At 34.2% G+C, this 21,915-nt stretch overlaps 2 long non-coding RNA genes across 2 annotated transcripts in view; both read left to right on the forward strand.

The window, feature by feature from the left end:
* The window catches only part of LOC124900404 (uncharacterized), a 228,127-nt gene that overhangs the window by 184,936 nt on the left and 21,276 nt on the right, over positions 1-21,915 (forward strand). The gene's annotated exons all lie outside the window — the stretch shown is intronic.
* The window catches only part of LINC01776 (long intergenic non-protein coding RNA 1776), a 61,948-nt gene that overhangs the window by 28,604 nt on the left and 11,429 nt on the right, over positions 1-21,915 (forward strand). Inside the window, exon 2 of the long non-coding RNA NR_046088.1 lies at positions 10,132-10,232. This is a non-coding gene — a long non-coding RNA (long intergenic non-protein coding RNA 1776). The remainder of the gene's footprint in view (positions 1-10,131; positions 10,233-21,915) is intronic.

The following is a 21,915-nucleotide window of genomic DNA, read 5'->3' on the forward strand; positions in this document are numbered from 1 at the left end:
GTGCATGTACCCATAAACTAAAAATAAAAGTTGAAAAAAATTTAAAAAGGGAGAAGTCAACCAAGAGGGCTGCAGAACATGGGGTCATTTTATTTTTATATATAATATGCATATTATTGTATATAATTTATGGTCCTAGTTTTCACATGGGGAAGGATCATGAAAAATGTGCTGTCTTCATTTTCAACCCAACAGTTTTTAGGCTTGAATGTTTCCTAGTCAAGTGTTTATGTTTGTTCTTGTATGTACTATCGAACAGGGTATCAAATGCTTTGTAGCTGTTTGTGCTGAAAAAAAAAATACTCATCCCCAAATCCAAACATCTATCAATTATCAAATGGATAAAGTGAATTAAATTTAAATGTGAATGAAGGAACTGCTATATACAGCAGGATGAATCTCACAAATACATTGAGGGAAACAAGCCAGACACAAAGTAATACATAATATATAATCCCACTTACACAAATTTTAAAATAGATAAAGCTAAAGCTAAACTACAATTTTTATAGTTAGGATAATGGTTACCTTTAAGGAGGTGGGAGTGGCTAAGGAGGGGGTACCAGCAGCACTTCTGGGATCCTGGCAATGATTCATTTCTTAATTTGGTGGTAGTTACATTGGTTTCCTCACTTTGCCATAATTCAGTGAGCCACACACTTGAGTTTGTGTACTTCTTATATGTGCATCATAATTTAATTAAAATGTCTTAAAAAGTGCTAAGAAGCTGACTGGAAACTTTGTGTATAAAAATAGAGCTTGTCAATCAGTAAGCTTTACTGCAGGTGAGTATTCAGTGTGTAGCTGTTTAAATGGGGAAACCCAAGATGTCAGCAATTCAAAGAACCTGTTTTAGGAGGAAATTAATGAGAATAAATTTACAATAGAACCATTTCCAAAAGCCACAGGTACATTAGACAGGAGTGATGGGTTCTACAATTGGCATGATATGGGAGAGTGGAGGCTTAGTAAATATAAACATTCACCTTGCTCCATGGTGAGTGAAGGGGTCAGGATTTATAAAAGAGATCCAAAAGGAAGGTAGAAAATATAGCACTATACCTCAGAACTGCCCTGAATTCTGGGGAGATGTGAGAAATACATTAAAAAAGTCTCAATTTAAAATACTCATGGATTACTTTTTTAAAAAACATACAATTTCTGTGAAAGGCGTATCAATGTGGCCCTCATCTGCTCCTAATTGAGTATTCATAACATTGAAAATTTTAAACAAATAGAAAAGATGTATTCTAAAACTTGCTTTTACCTAAAAATATATATATATTTTATGTTTTTCCTACATAAATACGTGCCTCAGTGATTTGGGGTGGTACATAATTTTCATTTTCATTTTTTTTTCTTTCTGAGATGGAGTCTTGCTCTGTTGCCCAGGCTGGAGTGCAGTGGTGTGATCTCGGCTCACTGCAACTTCTGCTTCCCAGGTCCAAGCAATTCTCCTGCCTCAGCCTCCTGAGAAACTGGGATTAGAGGCACACGCCACCACACACAGCTAATTTTTGAATTCTTAGTAGAGACGGGGTTTCACCATGTAGGCCAGGCTGGTCTCGAACTCCTGAACTCGTGATCCGCCCACCTCAGCCTCCCAAAGTGCTGGGATTACAGGCATGGGCCAGTGCGCCCAGCCCAGGTATATAATTTTCCATTGCATCAGAGTATTTTAATTATTTTAAATAATTTATTAACAGATATTTAATTCATTTATTTATGTACTTATTTCTTCATTCATGTAAAAACACTTCCTCAATTTAAGAATAGATCTGAGTGACTGGAAAATAGTTTAAATAACCACTGTTATTTTACACATGTACACAGCTATTGTGGATAAGCCAGCAGTGTTAACAATCAGGAATGTTAATAATGTGAAGCCAAGCAATGACTTAGAATTAAGAAAAATATTATATTTCAAATCAGAGACTCACTCTGTGGGTGACACTCTTGTGGGAATGGTCTACAGTGATAAAACTTCCCCTTGTGGTATGACAGGAGTGTGGGAAGTAGAAGCCCATGGTAGTAAGAGAAGTGTAGCCTTTCCAATCTTCACCTTTTTACGCATACTTGAGAATTCTAAGCAGCAGTTCTACAAGGGGTTGACTGCTCCCACTCAAAGAAAAAAAAAAAAAGAAAGAAAAAAAAAGCACAAAATAAAGAAAAACCACCCACCCAAATTAAGATCTACCATATGATCAGTAGTGCTACAAATTACTTTGTGCTCTCTTTTTCATCTATTTTGACCCCTGGAAATAATTGCCTTCCTTGATTTTACATTTATTACTCCCTTGTCTTTAAAATATTTTTATCATGTTTTTTAAACAATGTATCATTTATACTATCTTGCTTTTGAAATTTATAAAATTGATAAGAAATGATATATTGTATGAAGTTTTCTGTGGCTTAGTTTTTAAATACAATTTGTTTTTTTCTGAGATTCACCTGTGTTACATGTCGCTATAGTTTATTATACAAAAGTACATTGTGTACAGATGTCATAATTTATTTATGCTTTCTCCTGTTGATGAATGTTTGTGTTGTTTCTATTTTCCATTTTTCATTTAATAAACACTAATGCTATGAACATATATATATATATGTATTTTGATGAACGTGTGAAAGAGTTTCTCTTGCTGTATTCCTAGGGATTTGGGATGGGTGGCCAGCTGTGAAATGAACAAATGGTCACTCTGCAAGCAGGAAGGAGTCTCAGAAAATACAAAGATAGAACTATTTGGTGAAAATTTCAAGGTCAGAGGGAATATTTTCCACTTTCTCAGAGGTATTAGAGTCTGGCAATGTAAATATACTTAATGTTGCTGAACTATACACCAAAAAACTGGGTTAAATGGTAAATTTTATTTATATTTTAGCACAATAAAAATGAGTTACATAACACTAAAATAACTCTAACTTATAACCATATTTATACAATCAGCAGTAATTTCAATTTTTGTTGTTCTTCCCCACTGTTCAAATGTAGTTAAGTATGTAAGTAAAATTTGTAAAAAAGTATAACCAAATATATGTGAGTATGTGTGCATGCACGTGTGTGTGTGTGTGTATATATATATATATATACATATATATTCTCAATACATGCCAGAGTTCCTTATAAGAAACTATGAATAGGATAGACAATAACATTTCTAGTTATATTTGTATTTTGTATGAACTTCTTTGCACATACATATAACCTAATTCAAAAACACAACCTGAAGATCAATTCAGTGAAAAATAGTCGTCAAACTTACTCTAACTTATTACTTATTGATTAGCCAGACATCCTAAGATGATAGTGCCATGGGTAAAAAGAATTATGTTTCTCTATGTCAGATAATACAACTTTAATCAAAGAACATAAAGCCCACTGCTTCCTTTATAAGCATATTATTGCAGGGTTTAATATTGCAAAGACCAGAAATTATTTTCCTTATGTCTGTGTTAAGCAGTTTTGTTTTGAATTAGGCATCTTTATTACTAAGCATTAATTTTTACTAAGTAGAATATAATTTGGGGCTGCTTTTGTCAATAGTTCACTGCCCTCTCCATCTCATTAGATAATTTCTTTGCCATGAGTTGTGTTTGTAACACTACCCAGTCAGCCTCATCAATGAGTTTCATTAAGAACTTGTTTACTTCTCTTTCCAAATCATTAATAATGTTGTTAAATAAAATCAAACTGAACAAAGAACTTCTTGGCAGCCTATGCAACACCAAACCTGAACTGAAAATAGAACCATTTTTTATTCTCTGCTTATAGACTTTCATCCTTTATTCAATCCATTTGATGGTACTTTTATGTAGGGCAATTAGAATTAATTTTGTTAGTTGCATTTCATGATTTTGTGAGCTCCCATCTCATTTAATATAGTAATTTTCCCAGAGTAGGGCTCTGGGAAGTAGCAGTGCAGGAACAGAGGAAATGTTCCATTTTAGAAGGGCAACATATTTCAATGCAAACTAAATTCATGATAGACTGGGTACACCTTGAAGACACCTTGAAGGAGTAGAGAATACACATGATGTCCTCAGACCAAATGTTATGGTGAATAATTTGATGGAAAAATAAGAGCATTGTAGAGGTAGACCTAGGGAGAAGGACAACAGTTGAGGAAGATTATCATTATTGTAAGCAGATATTTTTAGATAGAAAATTATTGGCTCTAGGTTAGGGATGACCCATAGAACTTTTGTGATTATGGAAAAAATCTGTAATCTGCACTGTTCAATACAGAAGACACTGGCTTGCTTATGATTCTCAAGCATTTGTCCTGGGACAATTACAACTAAAGACGTAAATTTTTATTTATTAAACTTTAATTCATCTAAACGTATATAGTGGCTGCACACAGTGGCTCATGCCTGTAATCCCAGCACTTTGAGAGGCCAAGGCTGGAGGATCACTTTAGGCTAGCAGTTTGAAACCAGCTGGGGAAATACAGCAAGCCTCCATCTGCACCTAGAAAAATAAACGAATAAACAAAAATTTAGCCAGGCACGGTGGCATGCGCATCTGTACTCCCGGCTACTTAGGAGGTTGAGATGGGAGGATCACTGGAGCCCAAGTGGTCAAGGCTGTAGTTAGCTATGTTCACTCCACTGCAGTCGCTAAAAAAAAAAAAAAATTCTTTAAATAGCCACATATGACTAGTGGCTACCATATTGGACAGCACAGTTCTAGAACTTTAGGGCAGCTACATTACAGGTCAAAGAGGAGAAAACAGGAACTTCCTGGTAGAGGATATTTCTAATTTAGAACCCAGAATAAGAGCAGCCAGGTAAAGAGCTCTTTAGGGTTCTTCCTCTATGATACAACCATAGTCAACAAATGAATTGGAAGCAAGCACTAATTTTGCCCCCAGTGCAATGAAGTGCAACTTCCTTCATAGCAAACTCATCAGAAACTGAATAATGGTAAATAGAGCAAAGAAAATGATGAATTTTCTTCAAGTAATGATTAAAAATATACTTAAATCAATGATTAGTCACCATGTTTTGCATGTACCTACTAACATTAAATTATATTTGGAAAATATATGCCCATTATACCTTTCTTCTAGATTACGTGCATTCATTCATATTTACTGTAAAATATTAAACTAATATACATTAAATCAACTGTGATTATTGCTTTTAAGGAGCGTTCTTTTTTTTATTACTGTACAGGTGTCTTTTACTTGTTTTCTAATAATTTAATTTAGATTCTTGTTTCCTTTCTCTTTCCCAATTCTGTTCTTAATCCTGCCGCTATGGTGCTGTGATTTCATCCACACCGCCTCAAAAATAGCAGATCTCTTAAGCTTTGTATTTATTAAGGGAGTGCAATTAGTTTAATATGCATGAATTACAAAAGGCTTTGCACTGAACTGAAAGTTTTGTGGAAGAACTTACAAAAAATTATTGCAATTGTTATGTTGGAGAGTCAATCAGTTTCCACAAGGGATAATCTCAGGCCTTGTATTACTCAGTATTTTAATCTCTAGCTACAACAATAGAATTTACAAGGCATTAGTTAATTGACAGTGAACAACAAGTGGAGTTTATATCTGGTCATTTCTGCTATCTAGAATTTGTGGGCGTGATTATAAACATGTACATGAGAATTTTTGTATGTCCATAAGTTGTCTTTTCTTTTGGATAAATAGGCAGGAATGGAATTACTGGGTCTAAGAGTATGCTTAAATGTATAAGACACTGCAAAACTTTTTCTAACATTTCTGAATTATTTTTCATTACCATCAGTAATGTATGAAAGTTCCCATTGCTCTGTCTCCTTAGCAGTACTTGGTTTTGTCAGCTTTTAAGTTTAGCTAATGAGTCTATTGTGATACCTCACTTTGGATTTAATTTGCATTTTCATATGACGAATGATGTTGAGCATCTTTTCATGCCATCAATAGCTCTTTTGTGAAGTGTCTGTTCAATTCTTTTGCCAACATTTTTAAATTGGGCAGTTTGTTTTCCTATTCTCACTTCATGAGCCTTTTTTATGTATTATGACTACAAGTTCTTTTTCAAACACGTGTTTGCAAATATTTTCTCCTAATCTGTGTTTTGCCTTTTCATTTTCTTAATAGTGTCTTTTGAAGAGCAGTTTTAGTTTTTATGGTTCCAATTTACCAATTTTTTAATGAATTGTGATTTTTCTGTCCTCTCTAAAATATTTTGCCTAATTTAAGATCACAGAGATTCTCCTGTCCTAAGTTTTGGGTTTTACATCAAGGTTTATAGTTCATTTTGAGTTCTTTTATAAATATGATATGAGTATTTAAATACTTTTAAAAAATGTATGCCCAATTGTTCTAGCATCATTTGTGGAAAGGTCATTCTTTATACACTGAATTGCCCCGGCAACTTTACTAAGTAATCAATCTATCATATATGTTTGGGTCTATTTCTGGACTCCATTTTGTTCAATTGTTCTATATACCAATGCTTTACAGTCAATCTGGAAATGGAGTAGTGAGGGTTCTTCATCTTTATTCCTTAATTTTGTCTTAAATTGCCTCCATTATTCTAGGTTCTTCGCTCTTTGCACCTAAATTTTAGAATCGGCTTACTGATTTTTACAAAAAACCCCAAACCAAACCAAAACAAAAAAAAGGCCTGTTTGAGATTTTGATTTGGATTGCACTAAATCTATAGACCAAATCAGAGAGAACTGAAATCTTAAGAGTAGTATTTTCTGACTCACGAACATGATATTCTCTTCATTTATTTAGGGTTTTGATTTATTTAAATCAATATGTTATAGTTTTCAGTATAACAAATTTTGTATTTCTTTTGTCAGATATATACGCAGATTATCCTATTAAATACCTAAGTTGTTAATGTTTTCAATGCTATTATATTTATATTTATTGCATTAATTTATATATAAGCATACTATTTTTTTCACATATTTAATCTTATCCAGTGACATTTAGGAATGATTTGTCTTTTTTATGAACTTACCCATTTATCATTATGTAATGTCTTTCTTTATCCCTGGTAATACAACTTGTTGTGAAGTTTATTTCATTGGATGTTAATATTACCACTCCAGCTTTTAAAAATTATTGTTTACAATATTTTTAATACTTTTACTTTTAACTTATACTTGCCTTTATATTTAATATGAATTTCTTGTAGACAACATATAGTTGGATTTTCCTTTATTACCCAATTTTGAAAATCTCTGCTTTTTGATTAGGGAAATTAGACAATTTACACTTAATATGATTATTGATATTATTAGATTTAAATTTACTACCTTACTAATTGCTTTTAATTAATTCCTTTGATTCTTTGTTACTTCTTTCTATCTTATTTTAAATTAAATATTTTAAAATGCTTCTATTTCCATTTTTGGCTAATTATTTATATCCCTCCACCAACTTTCAGTTGTTCCCTAGGGGTTAGCATACGTATTTACCTTATCAGAGGCTACTTTCAAATAATAATGATATAGGCAGGTCGTGGTGGCTCACACTTGTAATCCCAGCACTTTAGGAGGCCAAGATGGTTGGATTGCTTGAGCCCAGGAGTTTGAGACCTGCCTGGACAACATAATGAGACTCCTGTCTCTACAAAAAAAAAAAAAAAAAAATCCAGGCATGGTGGTGTAGCCTGTAGTCCCACCAACTCGAGGCTAAGGCAAGTGGATAGCACGAGCCTGAGACATTGAGGCTGCAGTGAGCTATGATTGTATCACTTGCACTCTACCCTGGGTGACAGAACAAGACTCTGTCTCAAAAAAAAATTATATGTACTCACTCATAAATAGCATCAGAACCTTACAACAGAATATTTCCAAACCCTTTTCCCATCCTTTGTGATATTGTCACATATATTAATGTTATATAGAGTTTAAACTCCATAATATTGTCACAAGTCTTGCATTAAACACTCAAATATTTTAAAGTGATTAAAAATGAGGAATATATGCTTTTTACTTTTACCTCCATTTGCGTAGTTAACACCAATCTTCATTTCTTTGTGTAGATTCAGTTCTAGTGTGGATGCCTAAAGACTTTTGTTTAGCATCTCTTAAAATGCAGTTCTACTGACATAAATTCTCTCAGGCTTTGTTTGACTGAAAAAAAGTCTGTATTTTACCTTCCTTTTGAAAAGTATTTTTCGTGGGTGCAGAATTATGGGTTCATAGTATTTTTTTTGTCTTTCAGTACTTTAAAGATGTTACTCCCTTGACCTCTAACTTGTATAGTAGGGCTAAACATCCTGCTTGGCTTATGCTGAGATTATTACATCTGTGGTTTGATGTCTTCACTCACTTATGAGAAATTCTTGGTCAAATTTCCTTCTGTCTAGGACTTCAATTTCATTTACGTTAGATCATTCAGCATTGTCCCACAGTTCTTGAATTTTCTCTCCCATTCTGTAGGTTTGTCTCTTTATTGATTGCCTACTTTGTGGTACAGTAGCTTTTTCATTCAATATAATCCTATTTGCCTATTTTTGCTTTTGTTCCCTGTGCTTTTGAGGTCTTATTTTAAAAATCCTTGCCCAGTTCAACTCATGAAGCATTTCCCCTAGGCTTTCTTCCAGTAGTTTCATGGTTTTGATTATTACGGTTTAGTCCTTAATCCATTTAGAGTTGACTTTTGTGTAGGGTGAAAAATAGGGATCTAATTTTATTCTTTTGCATGTGGATATCCAGTTTTCACGGTACTGTTTATTGAAAACTGTCCTTCCCCCCATGTGTGTTTTTGTTGACTTTGCTGAAAATCAATTGGCTGTAAATGTGTGGATTTCTTTCTGGGTTCTCTATTATATTCCATCAGTCTATGCATCTGTTTTAATGCCAGTACTATGCTATTTTTGGTTACTATGACTTTGTACTGTATTTTGAACTCAGGTAGTGGGATGCCTTAAGCTTCATTCTTTTCACTTATGATTGCTTTGACTATCTGGCATCTTTTGCATTTGCATATGAATTTAAGATAATTCTTTTCTAGTTATGTGAAGAATGTAATTAGTGTTTTGATAGGGATTGCACTGAATTTGTAGACCAATTTGAGTAATATGGACATTTTAACAGTATTAATTCTTCCAATCTATAAGCATGGGATATCTTTTATTTATGTTCTCTTCAATTTCTTTAATCATCCAATAGCAAAAAAGAAACCCAAATAATCCAATTAAAAATGTGCAGAAGGCTAAAATGGACATTTTTCAAAAGAAGACATGCAAGTGGCTGACAGAGACATGAAAAAATAGTCAACATCACTAATCATCAGGGAAATGCAAGTCAAAACCACAATCAGATATCTCCTTACTCCAGTTAGAATGACTATTATCAAAAAGACAAAAAAGAAATGCTGTCAAGGATGTGAAGAAAAGGGCACTCTTATATACTGTTGATAGGAATGTAAATTACTACAGTCATTATGGAAAATAGTATAAAGTTCCTCAAAAAATTAAAAATAGAACTACCATATGATCCAGCAATCCCATATATTGGGTACACATCCAAAGAAAGTGAAATTAGTATGTTGAAGAGACATCTGCATGCCCAAATTTGTTGCAGCACTGCAGCACTATTAAAAATAGCCAAGCTATTGAATCAACCTTAATGCTCATCTACAGATGAAAGGATGAAAAACTGTAACACACACACACACACGCACAAATGCACTCGTGTGCATGCACAAGAGAGTATTATTCAGCCATTACACAAAATGAAATTTGTTATTTGTGGCAACATGGATGAACGTGGAGGACATGATATTAAGTGAAATAAGCCACCAATAGAAGGACAAACACTGCATTATCTCACTCACATGAGGACTCTAAAATAGCTGATTTTATAAAAATAGAGAGGAGAGTAGTGATTACCAGGGCTGGGGAGGGTAGGGATGAGCAGGGGGGACCAGGAGAGGTTGTTCAATAGGTGCAAAGTTACAGTTAGACAGGAAGAATAAATTTTGGTGTTCTATTACAAAGTAGGGTGAGTATAGCTGATATGGTTTGGGTGTGTCTCCACCCAAATCTCATCTTGAATTCCCATGTGTTGTGGGAGGGACTCAGTAGAAGGTAACTGAATCATAAGAGATGGTCTTTCTTGTGCTTTTCTCATGATAGTGAATAGGTCTCATGAGATCTGATGGTTTTAAACAGGTGGTTTCCCTGCACAAGCCCTCTTCTTTTGTGTGGCACCATGTGAGATGTGCCTTTCACCTTCCACCATGATTGTCAGACCTCCCCAGCCACATGGAACCGTAAGTCCATTAAACCTCTTTATTTTGTAAATTGCCCAGTCTTTGGTATATCTTTACCAGCAACGTGAAAACAGACTAATACAGTACATCGGTACCAGTAGAGTGGGGCACTACTGAAAACATACCCAAAAACGTGGAAGCGACTTTGGAACTGGATAACAGGCAGAGGTTGGAACGGTTTAGAGGACTCAGAAGAAAACAGGAAAATGTGGGAAAGTTTGGAACTTCCTAGAGACTTGTTGAATGTATTTGCACACAATGCTGATAATAATATGAACAATAGAGTCCGGGCTGAGGTGGTCTCAGATAGAAATGAGAAACTCGTTGGGAACTGGAGCAAAGTTGACTCTTGTTATGTTTTAGCAAAGAGACTGGTGGCATTTTTGCCCTTGCCCTAGAGATTTGTGAAACTGAATGTGAGAGAAATGATTTAGGGCATCTGGTGGAAGAAATTTCTAAGCAACAAAGCATTCAAAATGTGACTTGGATGCTGTTAAAGGCATTCAATTTTTTTTTTTTATTATACTTTAAGTTTTAGGGTACATGTGCACAACGTGCAGGTTTGTTACATGTGTATACATGTGCCATGTTGGTGTGCTACACCCATTAACTCGTCATTTAACATTAGGTATATCTCCTAATGCTATCCCTCACCCCTCCCCACCACACCACAACAGGCCCTGGTGTGTGATGTTCCCCTTCCTGAGTCCATGTGTTCTCATTGTTCAGTTCCCACCTATAAGTGAGAACGCGCAGTGTTTGGTTTTTTGTCCTTGCGATAGTTTGCTGAGAATGATGGTTTCCAGCTTCATCCATGTCCCTACAAAGGACATGAACTCATCATTTTTTATGGCTGCATAGTATTCCATGGTGTATATGTGCCACATTTTCTTAATCCAGTCTATCATTGTTGGACATTTGGGTTGGTTCTAAGACTTTGCTATTGTGAATAGTGCCACAATAAACATACGTGTGCATGTGTCTTTAGAGCAGCATGATTTATAATCCTTTGGGTATATACCCAGTAATGGGATGGCTGGGTCAAATGGTATTTCTAGTTCTAGATCCCTGAGGAATCACCACACTGACTTCCACAATGGTTGAACTAGTTTACAGTCCCACCAACAGTGTAAAAGTGTTCCTATTTCTCCACATCCTCTCCAGCACCTGTTGTTTCCTGACTTTTTAATGATCGGCATTCTAACTGGTGTGAGATGGTATCTCATTGTGGTTTTGATTTGCATTTCTCTGATGGCCAGAGATGATGAGCATTTTTTCATGTGTCTTTTGCTTGCATAGATGTCTTCTTTTGAGAAGTGTCTGTTCATATCCGTTGCCCACTTTTTGTTTGTTTTTTTCTTGTAAATTTGTTTGAGTTCATTGTAGATTCTGGATATTTACCCTTTGTCAGATGAGTAGATGGCAAAAATTTTCTTCCATTCTGTAGGTTGCCTGTTCACTCTGATGGTAGTTTATTTTGCTGTGCAGAAGCTCTTTAGTTTAATTAGATCCCATTTGTCAAGTTTAGCTTTTGTTGCTGTGCATTCAATTTTATAAGGGAAGCAGAGTACAAAAGTTGAGAAAATATGCAGCCGACAGTGCAATAGAAAAGAAAATCCCATTTTCTGAGGAGAAATTCAAGCTGGTTGCAGAAATTTGCATAAGTAATGAGGAGACAAATGTTAATCCCCAAAACAACAGGTAAAATATTTCTAGGGCATGTCAGAGGTCTTCACTGCAGCCCCTCCTATCAGGTCCTGAGGTCTAGGAGGAAAAAATGGTTTTGAGTTCTGGGCTCAGGGTCTTTGTGCTACTTGCAGCCTAGGGACTTGGTGACCTGCCTCCCATCCACTTCAGAAGTGGCTGAAAGGGGCCATTGTAGAGATTGGGCCATGGCTTCAGAGGGTGTAAGCCCCAAGCCTTGACAGCTTCCATGTGATGTTGAGCCTGCAAGTGTAAAGAAGTCAAAAATTGAGGTTTGAGAACCTCTGCCTAGAATTTAGAGGATGTATGGAAATATATGGATGCCCAGGCGGGTTTGCTGCTGGGGTGAGCCCCTCATGGATGACTTTTGCTAGTGCAGTGCAGAAAGGAAATGTGGGATCAAAGCCCCCATTCAGAGTCCCTACTGGGGCACCACCTAGTGGAGCTTTGAGAAGAGGGCCACCATCCTCCAGACCCCAGAATGGTAGATCCACCAACAGGTTGCACTGTGTACCTGGAAAAGCCGCAGGCACTCAATGCCAGCCCATGAAAGTAGCCTGGAGGGAGGCTGTACCCTGCAAAGCCACAGGGGTGGAACTGCCCAAGACCATGGGATCCCACCTCTTGTATCAGTGTGACCTGGATGTGAGATATGGAGTCAAAGGAGATCATTTTGGAGCTTTAAGATTTCACTGCCCCACTGGATTTTTGGATTTGCATGGGGCCTGTAGCTCCTTTGTTTTGGCCAATTTCTCCCATTTGGAATAAGTGTATTTACCAAATTCCTATACCCTTATTGTATCTAGGAAGTAATTAACTTGCTTTTGATTTTTCCAGGCTTATAAGCCGAAGAGACTTGCCTTGTCTTGAATGAGACTTTGGGCTATGGACTTTTGAGTTAATGCTGAAATGAGTTAAAATTTTGGGGGACTGCAGGGAAGGCATGACTGGTTTTGAAATATGACGACGTGAGATTTGGGAGGGGTCAGGGGTGAAATGATATGGTTTGGCTGTGTACCCACTCAAATTTCATCTTGAATTCCCATGTGTTGTGGGTGGGACCCAGTGGGAAGTAGTTGAATCATGTCATGCTGTTCTCATGATAGTGAATAAATCTCATGAGACCTGATGGTTTTAAAAAGGGGAGTTTCCCTGTACAAGCTCTCTTCTCTTGTTTGCTGCCATGTGAGACATGCCTTTTACCTTCTGCAAAGATTGTGAGGCCTCCACAGCCACACGGAACTGTAAGTCCATTAAATCTCTTTCCTTTGTAAATTGCCCAGTCTTTCGTATGTCTTTATCAGCATCATGAAAATGGATGAATACAATAGCAAATAACAATGCAGTGTATACTCAAGATAGCTAGAAGATTTTGAATGTTGTCAGAACAAAGAAATTATAGAAGTTTAAAATAACATATGTGTAATTACTCTGATTTGGTCATTATACAATTTATACATGCATTGAAACATCACACTCTACCCCCAAAATATGCATAATTATTGTGTGTCAATTATAAATTAAAAAAATTAATTAAAAATAAAATTGATCAAGGTACATAAGAGTTAAAGGGGATCTTGTGAAAATAGTTACCACAACTGCAATAAAGATAATAACCATAATATTGGTAAAGCAAGTGAACATATCATAGCCATATATTTCAATATTTAAAAAGTTGTATTCTTTATCTATAAATAAAAATTTACTTAGCTAATATGTTCCTATTTTCACTTTATGCAAGGAACCTTAGTTGTAACCAGAAGTGTAACTCAGACTCTGTTAGATTAAAAATCTTTCTAAGGAAATGATAACTCAGTGACATCAAATCCTTGACCTTTCACTTTCCCAGGGTGGTATCTTTTTAGGCATACATAGCATCATGGAAGGGGGTATTCTGGCTTATGACCACCCTCCGGTGTTTTTTGTGATTGTGGTGTACTTTGCTTCAATTGGCTGTTGTCATCATATGCTAACAGGTGTGCTGAGGTTCACAGTTCTGCCATGACCTTCAGCAATCAGCTCTAAGTAATCTGACCTGACTCCTCCTCCTCCTTATTCGTATGCAGGTCTGCCAGTCCTCTATTAGTATTGTCATGCTTCCCTACCATTCTTTGAAGGAAACTGGGGTGTGTCTCAGGCCCATGATTAGTCAAGGGCCTAGTTCAGCCATTGCTACTCTGTTGATCTGGCAACACAAGGAAAATGGGGCTTCAATAAGATAATTGGTGTATCCCGTATGGCTATTACATAGAAAGCAAGGCATATGTTCTCTCTGTTCTCACATCATAAAACAAACTTAAGATCTCTGTATCCCTCTCTCTATCTCATGGTAACCAAGGATAAGAAAGCTAGAGCTTGGGACCTTAAAAGGAGATCCCCTGTGTTTTATATAATTGCTCTCCTATACCAATTCACCTCTTTTTCCATATATCTTGTTGACTGTCTGCTTTTTCTGGAGAGAAAATTAACTTCTACATTATCATGCATTCTTAATTTGTGTGTGTGTGTGTATGTAATTTTATGCTTTGTCTCTGATATTTTATGTTAAACTTGGAATTCAAAATAACTCAAGTCCATTTTTTTAAAGACTATATGTTTAAACAGCATCCAGAAGCTCAATAGAGTTAATTGTTTAGGCTATATCTACTTTCTCTCTGAGAAGATTGTTATTCTTAAGAAAATGTTTAAATAAAGTGAGCGAGATTGCATTGAATCTGTGACAGCACAGGGAATGAAGTTAGAGAAAGACTAACATCCTAAATATTGAGTATTAATCTTACTAACAATTTCGATGCTTCCAACACTAGACCTGTGTCTTATAGAAATTATTTTATTTATTTGTAAAAAAAACAAATAATGCAATTTATATTATTTTAGAAACAGAATTAAGTAGCTTATTAAGGGAGAACTACACTAACTCTTTCATTTTGTAAACATGTACCCTAAAACTTAGAGTATAATAAAAAAAAAAAAAAAAAAAGAACACTGAGATTTGGAATGAGATTAATTTAAATAAGAATATGCTGCTTGTCAATGAAAACCTAGGACCAGAACCTAAGATTCCAGATGCTTTCTCTGCTTTATAGTTAAGTGTCACATAGATCTACTTTAATTTCAGTGAAGTTATTAGCCTTTATGGAGACAGACCTCCACTTCAGAGTGATTTTCACAAACTAATTATGTGATCCCTGAAAGAAATAAATGCCATGTACTAAATAATGATGTGATAAAAATAAATTAACATATAGGAAATAAATTTCTAGGCATTATTGCTTTATGTGCTTAAAATGAGTCAGTGAGAGTACCCCTATTCAAACAACTCACTTGGCAATGAAATATGTTAACAGTAAAGTAACAAGAAATATTTAGAAAGAAATCTTCCTTAAACACTCAGCAGTTACAACTTCATTTTTTATGTCTTATGATAGCAGAGAAATGATAAGAGAATGAGGATGATTCAATACGGGGCAGAAAAAATGGAAGGGTTACTGAGGACAGATGGCATTGATTGATTTTGACTGGAGAAAGTAATGCTGTGGGCAAATTTCACCCTTTTGAAGCTGAGTATTATTCTAACGTGAGGACAACAGAATTTTAAAATTTTTATAATATTTGAACTATACAAAAGAATGCATGTAAGAACAGATGCAGGTTATGATGCAGAATATTAGCAAGAATGTATGTGAACACAATTAAGAACTAGAATATGACAGTGTTACCTCTACCTATACACTGCTTCTGACCTTAGTCTTTCCCCAGATGTAACTTCTATCCCAGATTTTCTTCTCTAATTTTTAACGTTTTGTCTTTTATATTTAAGTTTTTCATTCATTGTGCATTGATTTTTATGTATAATGTGAAGTAGCAATCTAATTTCAGTTCATTCTCGTGGATCACTTCAGGTTTCTTTTTCCTGTAATATTCCATGAAATCTTTCACATATATTAACTTTGTTTACATGTGTGAGTCTGTTTCTGAAGTCTCCAAATTGTACCAGTAGTGAAATAGTCTTACTTCATCATCAATACTAGATGGTTCTAATTATTACAGTTGTATATTAAGTATTTTTTTCTATTTTAACTTTTATTTTAGAATCAGGGGTACATATTAAGGTTTGTTACAAAGGTATACAGAATTAGAAAAAGCTATTATAAAATTACTATAAAATGAAAAAAGAGCCCAAATAGCCAAAGTGATTCTAAGCTAAAAGAACAAAGCTAAAGGCATCATATTATCTAACTTCAAACTATATTCCAAGGCTACAGTAACCAATAGAGCATGGTATTGGTACAAAAACAGGCACATAGATAAATGGAACAGACTAGAGAACCCAGAAATAAAACCACACACCTACAACCATCTGATCTTAGACAAACTCAACAAAAATAAGCAATAGGGAATAGAGTTCCTATTCAATAAATGTTGCTGGAATGTGCAGAAGAATGAAACTGAACCCCTAATTATCACCATATACATAAATTAACTCAAGATGGATTAGAGACTTAAATGTAAGACATGAAACTATAACGCTTCTAGAATAAAACTTAGGAAATACACTTTTTGCTATCAGCCTTGGCAAATAATTTATGGCTAAGTCCTCAAAAGCAATTGCATCAAAAACAAAAATTAACAATTAAACTAAAGAGGTTTTACACAGCAAAACAAACTATCAAAGGAGTAAACAGACAACCTACTTCACAAACTATCCATCTACAAAGGTCTAATATCCAGAATCTATAAATATCCTAAAGTAATAATCAAAAAAGAAATATAATAAATATAGGCCCCTTTCACCCTATACTTTACCAGGACTCTCTTCATTATTCTTTGACTTTTTCTCTTCTATATCAATTTGATGTCAGTTTGTCTAGTTTTTTGAAAAACTCTATTTGGATTGTGATTAAAAGTTATTTAAATCCATGGAAAATGTTTAAAGTCAGGGAAAACCTGACATCTTAAAATATTGAATTATCCTGTCCAGGTATATTGTATCTCATTTTTTAGGTGTTCTGAAGAGATTTTCAAAATTCTATATTTTTTATGGATAGATTGTACACAGTTTTTTGCTATTTTTATTTACTTATATTGTTACTGCTTATAATAAATATTATATTTTTTAAATTATATTTTCTAAATGTATGCTTAGTATATTTGTGTATATTAATTATATATCCAGAAAACTTATTAAACTCCTCAACTTATTTCTGGATAGATGTTCCATGAGTCCTTGAAAAGACTGTTTTGGGTGTTTCCATTATTTGGTGGAGTGTTCTATAAATATGAGTTAAATCAAGTTGTGTCTACTTATTCTATCAATTATTGAGAGAATGGTAATAAAATCTCTGACTTTATGGATTTATTTATCCTTGCAGTTACATCAGTTTTTACTTCAGGTATCATGAAGTTTTATTATTAGGCATATGTATTAGTCCATTTTCATACTGCTATAAAGAACTGCCTGAGACTGGGTGATTTATAAAGAAAAGAAGCTTAATTGACTCAAAGTTCCACATGGCTGGGAAGGCCTCAGGAAACTTACAATTATGGAGGAAGGGGCAGAGACATGTCTTATATGGTGGCAGACGAGAGAGAGTGGGTGTAGGAGGAAATGTCAAACGCTTATGAAACCATCAGATCTCTTGAGAAATCACTATCAGAAGAACAGCATGGGGGAAACCACCCCATGACATAATCACCTCCCACCAGGTCCTGCCCTCACACATGGGGATTATGGGGATTACAATTTGAGGTGAGATTTGAGTGGGGACACACAACCAAACCATATCAGTGTATAAACTTTTAGAATTATTATATTCTCTTAATGAATTGACCTCATCTTCATTTTTAAATTATTCATTCTATTCCTGATAATATTTTGTTCTGAACCCTATTTTGTCTAATATTAGTACAGTTATTGCAGCTTTCTTTGGAAAGGTATGTCTTTTTCATTCTTTGACTTTTGATCAGTTTCTTTATGCTTAAAAAGGATTTCTTATAGGCAACATAAATTTGAATCTTTAAAAAAATACAATTTAACATTTTATATTAATTTGGTTATTTAGACCATTTACATTTAATGTATTTATTAGTATGGTTGGGTATAAATCTGACATCTTTCCATTTTTTTCTATGTGTCACATGTGTTCTTTGTTCCTTTTTTCTCCTTTTCAGACTTCTTTTGAATTTAGCACTTTTATCCTTTTATTATTCCATTTGAGCTCTTAGGTTTGCTTATTCACTCAAATGTTTTATTGCTTTTTATAAAATGTATATAGTGTACAACTTTACACAATTTGTCTTAAAGTATTACCACATAAAACCATATTTTTTAATAAGAATTTTAAAATAATATAGTTGTATTTCTTCACTTTAAGTTTTCATCCTGTGATGTCAGGTATTTTTACTTTTACATATATTATAAACCCCACAGTCCATTGTTATTATTTTCGTTAAACATTTAATTATATTTTAAGGGGATTTTAAATTTAAATTTTAAAAATCTACCCACTTATTTACAATTTTAGGTACTCTATAATCCTTTCTGTGGATTCATATTTATGCCTGGTATCGTTTTGTTCCTGCTTACAGGATATTCCTTAACATTATTTATAGTATAGCTTTGTTGGTGATGAATTATTTTGACTTTGTATACCTACAAATGTTTTCACTTCACCTTAATATTTGAAAGATATTTTTGTAAGATGACAGTATCTTTTTTCTTTCATCACTTTAAAGACGTTCACCCACAGTCTTTTGGTTTGGCCCTGTTTCCCACAAGAAATCTGCTGTCATTCCTGCTAAGAATCCTTCTGTCACAAGAAGCATTTTTTGTACTTGTCAAAAATGAGTAGACACACAAAGAATAAGACTATGTATGGGCATCAGAAAACTCAATAGACAAACATATATACAAAAACTTGATATATAGTATCAAACATAGACTATCAACCATAAATTAAAATAGTAAATTATCTGATTAAGAATGAAAAGAAAGCCAAGTTTGAAAATTATAGCAGGAAACTGAAATTGTATAGACTAAAATGCCAAATTTGAAAAAAAGAAATTCCAGGAATAAAAATGCAGTAACAAAAATGAAAAACTCGGTGGATAGTTTTAGCAGCAGCATAGTTATAGCCAAAGAGAGCATTGGTGAAATGGACAATAGTTAGGAATAAATTATGAAATATGCAGCTAGAGAGACAAAAGGATGGACAACAGACAAGAGTGGAAGAAATATTTTTTTCCAAAAAGTTAAATTGTGAAATCTTTCCAGGGATATTTCAATGATCTCCAGGGAGCACTCATAGCTGGCCTCTCTCATCTGGGGTGCATGTAGCACATGGGTAGCTTCAGTGGCCTATTTACCAGATAGATCATATTCCAAGGAAATCCATGAGCAACATTGGATAAGATGCTAGATTATATCAAAATTTTAATCCAAGTATACAGAAAGAATTTGTAGTACATACACTGACAAAAATAACCCTGATACAGCATCAGAAAGGCTAGCTATGGGCACACTTGACTATAATGGTCAAATGGGAGCCAGGAGTTTGTTTGCAACAATATCTATAGTGTTTTTATAAATTGGCATTTTATAAAAAATAGATATGTTTAACTGACAGTGGATGAACCCAGACCACAGAGGAAAAACTACACAGATTATATTACATGACAATTTATAAATAAATTCAAAACAATATTTTGATATTAACTTCCACTTTTGCAATAGACAATGATAAAACCTTTAGCCAGATGTAGCTAAGGGAATTGTTTCTGTTCTGGTTCTAAGTTTCTCTTCTTTCAGAGTGGTGCCTAAATTCTATGCATGTCAGTGACCTTTGCTCTTATGGTTGTTTCCTTATACTAAAATTTTATTAATAATACTTATTTATTTAGTCAAGCAATTATTTATGGACCCATTATGATAGTCCAAATGTTCTGTTTTCTAATTGTCATCTGAATAGTCTCTATGTCCTTCATATTAACCTGTATTGTAAAGATCAAGAATGGAAAAATATATTGAGATAGTTTATGGAATGAGTTTACCATTATCTGCTCTACATAAAGAGAATCTTTTAATAATTTGATTACCATCAAATGGATTTTAAGTATTTCTTAGATTAAAACTCTTTGAAGGCAGGGATCACATTAAGCTCATTCTTTTGCATTGCTAACACCAAGCATAGTACATAGAAGAGGTACTCAATGTTGAATAAGCAAGAATGAATAAATGAAACAATGTTTTATGAACTTTAAAATGTATAATTAGCATGCTTATATATGCTATTTTTACCTATATGTATGTAAGTTGGAGGCTTGCTCAGTGTTTCCAAAAGGTATTTTGTTATTAATATGTCCTATATAAATACTTAGATATTAAAATTCATACTACATATGTACCTGTGGGGTCACAGGCTTTGTAGGGAGTTGTGTCAGCTCATTTACATATGTCTCACTATCTTTTATGTAGTGAGGGCCACAATTTTAAGGAATCTCATATCTATTTTCATAGCTTAGGACATAAATATGATGTGGATGGTGTCAACCTCATTAACTGCTGCTTTTCAAACCTAAGTAATTTTTTTCTTGTGTTTAGTTCAAAAGAGTTTCAACAAAATTGAAAAATACTGATTAGAGTTTACTTTTTCATTTAAATTGAAACTAATCTAAACCAGACTTCTGTTTAGGGTTTGGTTCCACTCCCAGCTCGAGGATAAATACTAATTTTAGTCAGTAATTTTGAACTGAATTTCAGATAGAAAGCAATTTCAAAGTATTTGTCTGAGGATATTTTTTGTATAAATATGTTTTTTCCTTATTTCATTTTTTTTCAATAAGCATAGGTAAAAATTCTTTACACTCTCCAACGTTCCCTGGATATTTCCATGAATTTTCTTCTGCTTAAAATATGTATTGATTTCTTTAGAACACAATTTTCAGCTTCTGTGTGAGCGATAAAGGAGATTCAACATTACATTTTATAAATAATTTTTGGGGGCTGGTAGAAAGATCATATATTGAAGATATGTTCTTGCACTGTGATCTGGAAAAAACTGAATATAGTCCTTTGTAGATGTTCCTCTTTACAAAGTACTTTCTCTGAGACTTCTAAAAAATACGTTATAGAAATAAAGTAAAATGGCAATCTGCATTGCTGAACAATTTCTATAGTTCTCAAATAGATTGCTCTTGATATATTTTTAAGAACCTTTTGTTGCTTATTCTGTGACTGCGTTATTTTATTTTAATTTAGTACTGTCATGTGAATAATAAGCAGTCAAGGCTAAAAATTTCCTGCTTTGCAATTCTCTGAATGTTAATAATTATACTAATTAGCAATTCACAACAAACAGGTCTCAGTCACAGTGAATCATTTCTGCCACATTCACCACAATTTTAAGATCATGAGTAAATTTCAAGCTACTGTTGTTGTTTTAGAAATTCTCTTCTGTGAACAAAACTCCTCCCTAAATCCATTCAGGTCTAAAAGAATGCACAGATCATTGAGGCTGTAAACAAAAACAAAAATTACCTTATTTGAAGGAATACATTTCTATCCTCAATGGAGTTAAGCCTCTTGTGTTCAGTTTTAATGCAGATAATTTAGCAATCTATAATGTATAAAATAACTTTGCCTGAAGAATTTATTGGCATATATCATTTTTGTTAGACAATTCCATATGGCCGGGAAGGCCGAATGGCCAAGTTATTTAGTCTTCACTATCAACAGCTAAAATGGTAAATAGCTGGGATGCATGTTCTTCCCTTGCTTGTATCTGGGTAACCCCTATTGGTCCTAAGCAGCATAGCAACTGTCATCATGTCTTGAAAAAGTTGTCATCTGGCTGGGTGCGGTGGCTCACGCCTGTAATCCTACACTTTGGGAGGCTGAGGCAGGCGGATCACCTGAGGTCTGGAGTTTGAGACCAGCCTGACCAACATGGTGAAACCCCGTCTTTACTAAAAAATACAAAAT

The sequence above is a fragment of the Homo sapiens genome, chromosome 1 (assembly GCF_000001405.40).
Source record: "Homo sapiens chromosome 1, GRCh38.p14 Primary Assembly".
Classification (NCBI taxonomy): domain Eukaryota; kingdom Metazoa; phylum Chordata; class Mammalia; order Primates; family Hominidae; genus Homo; species Homo sapiens.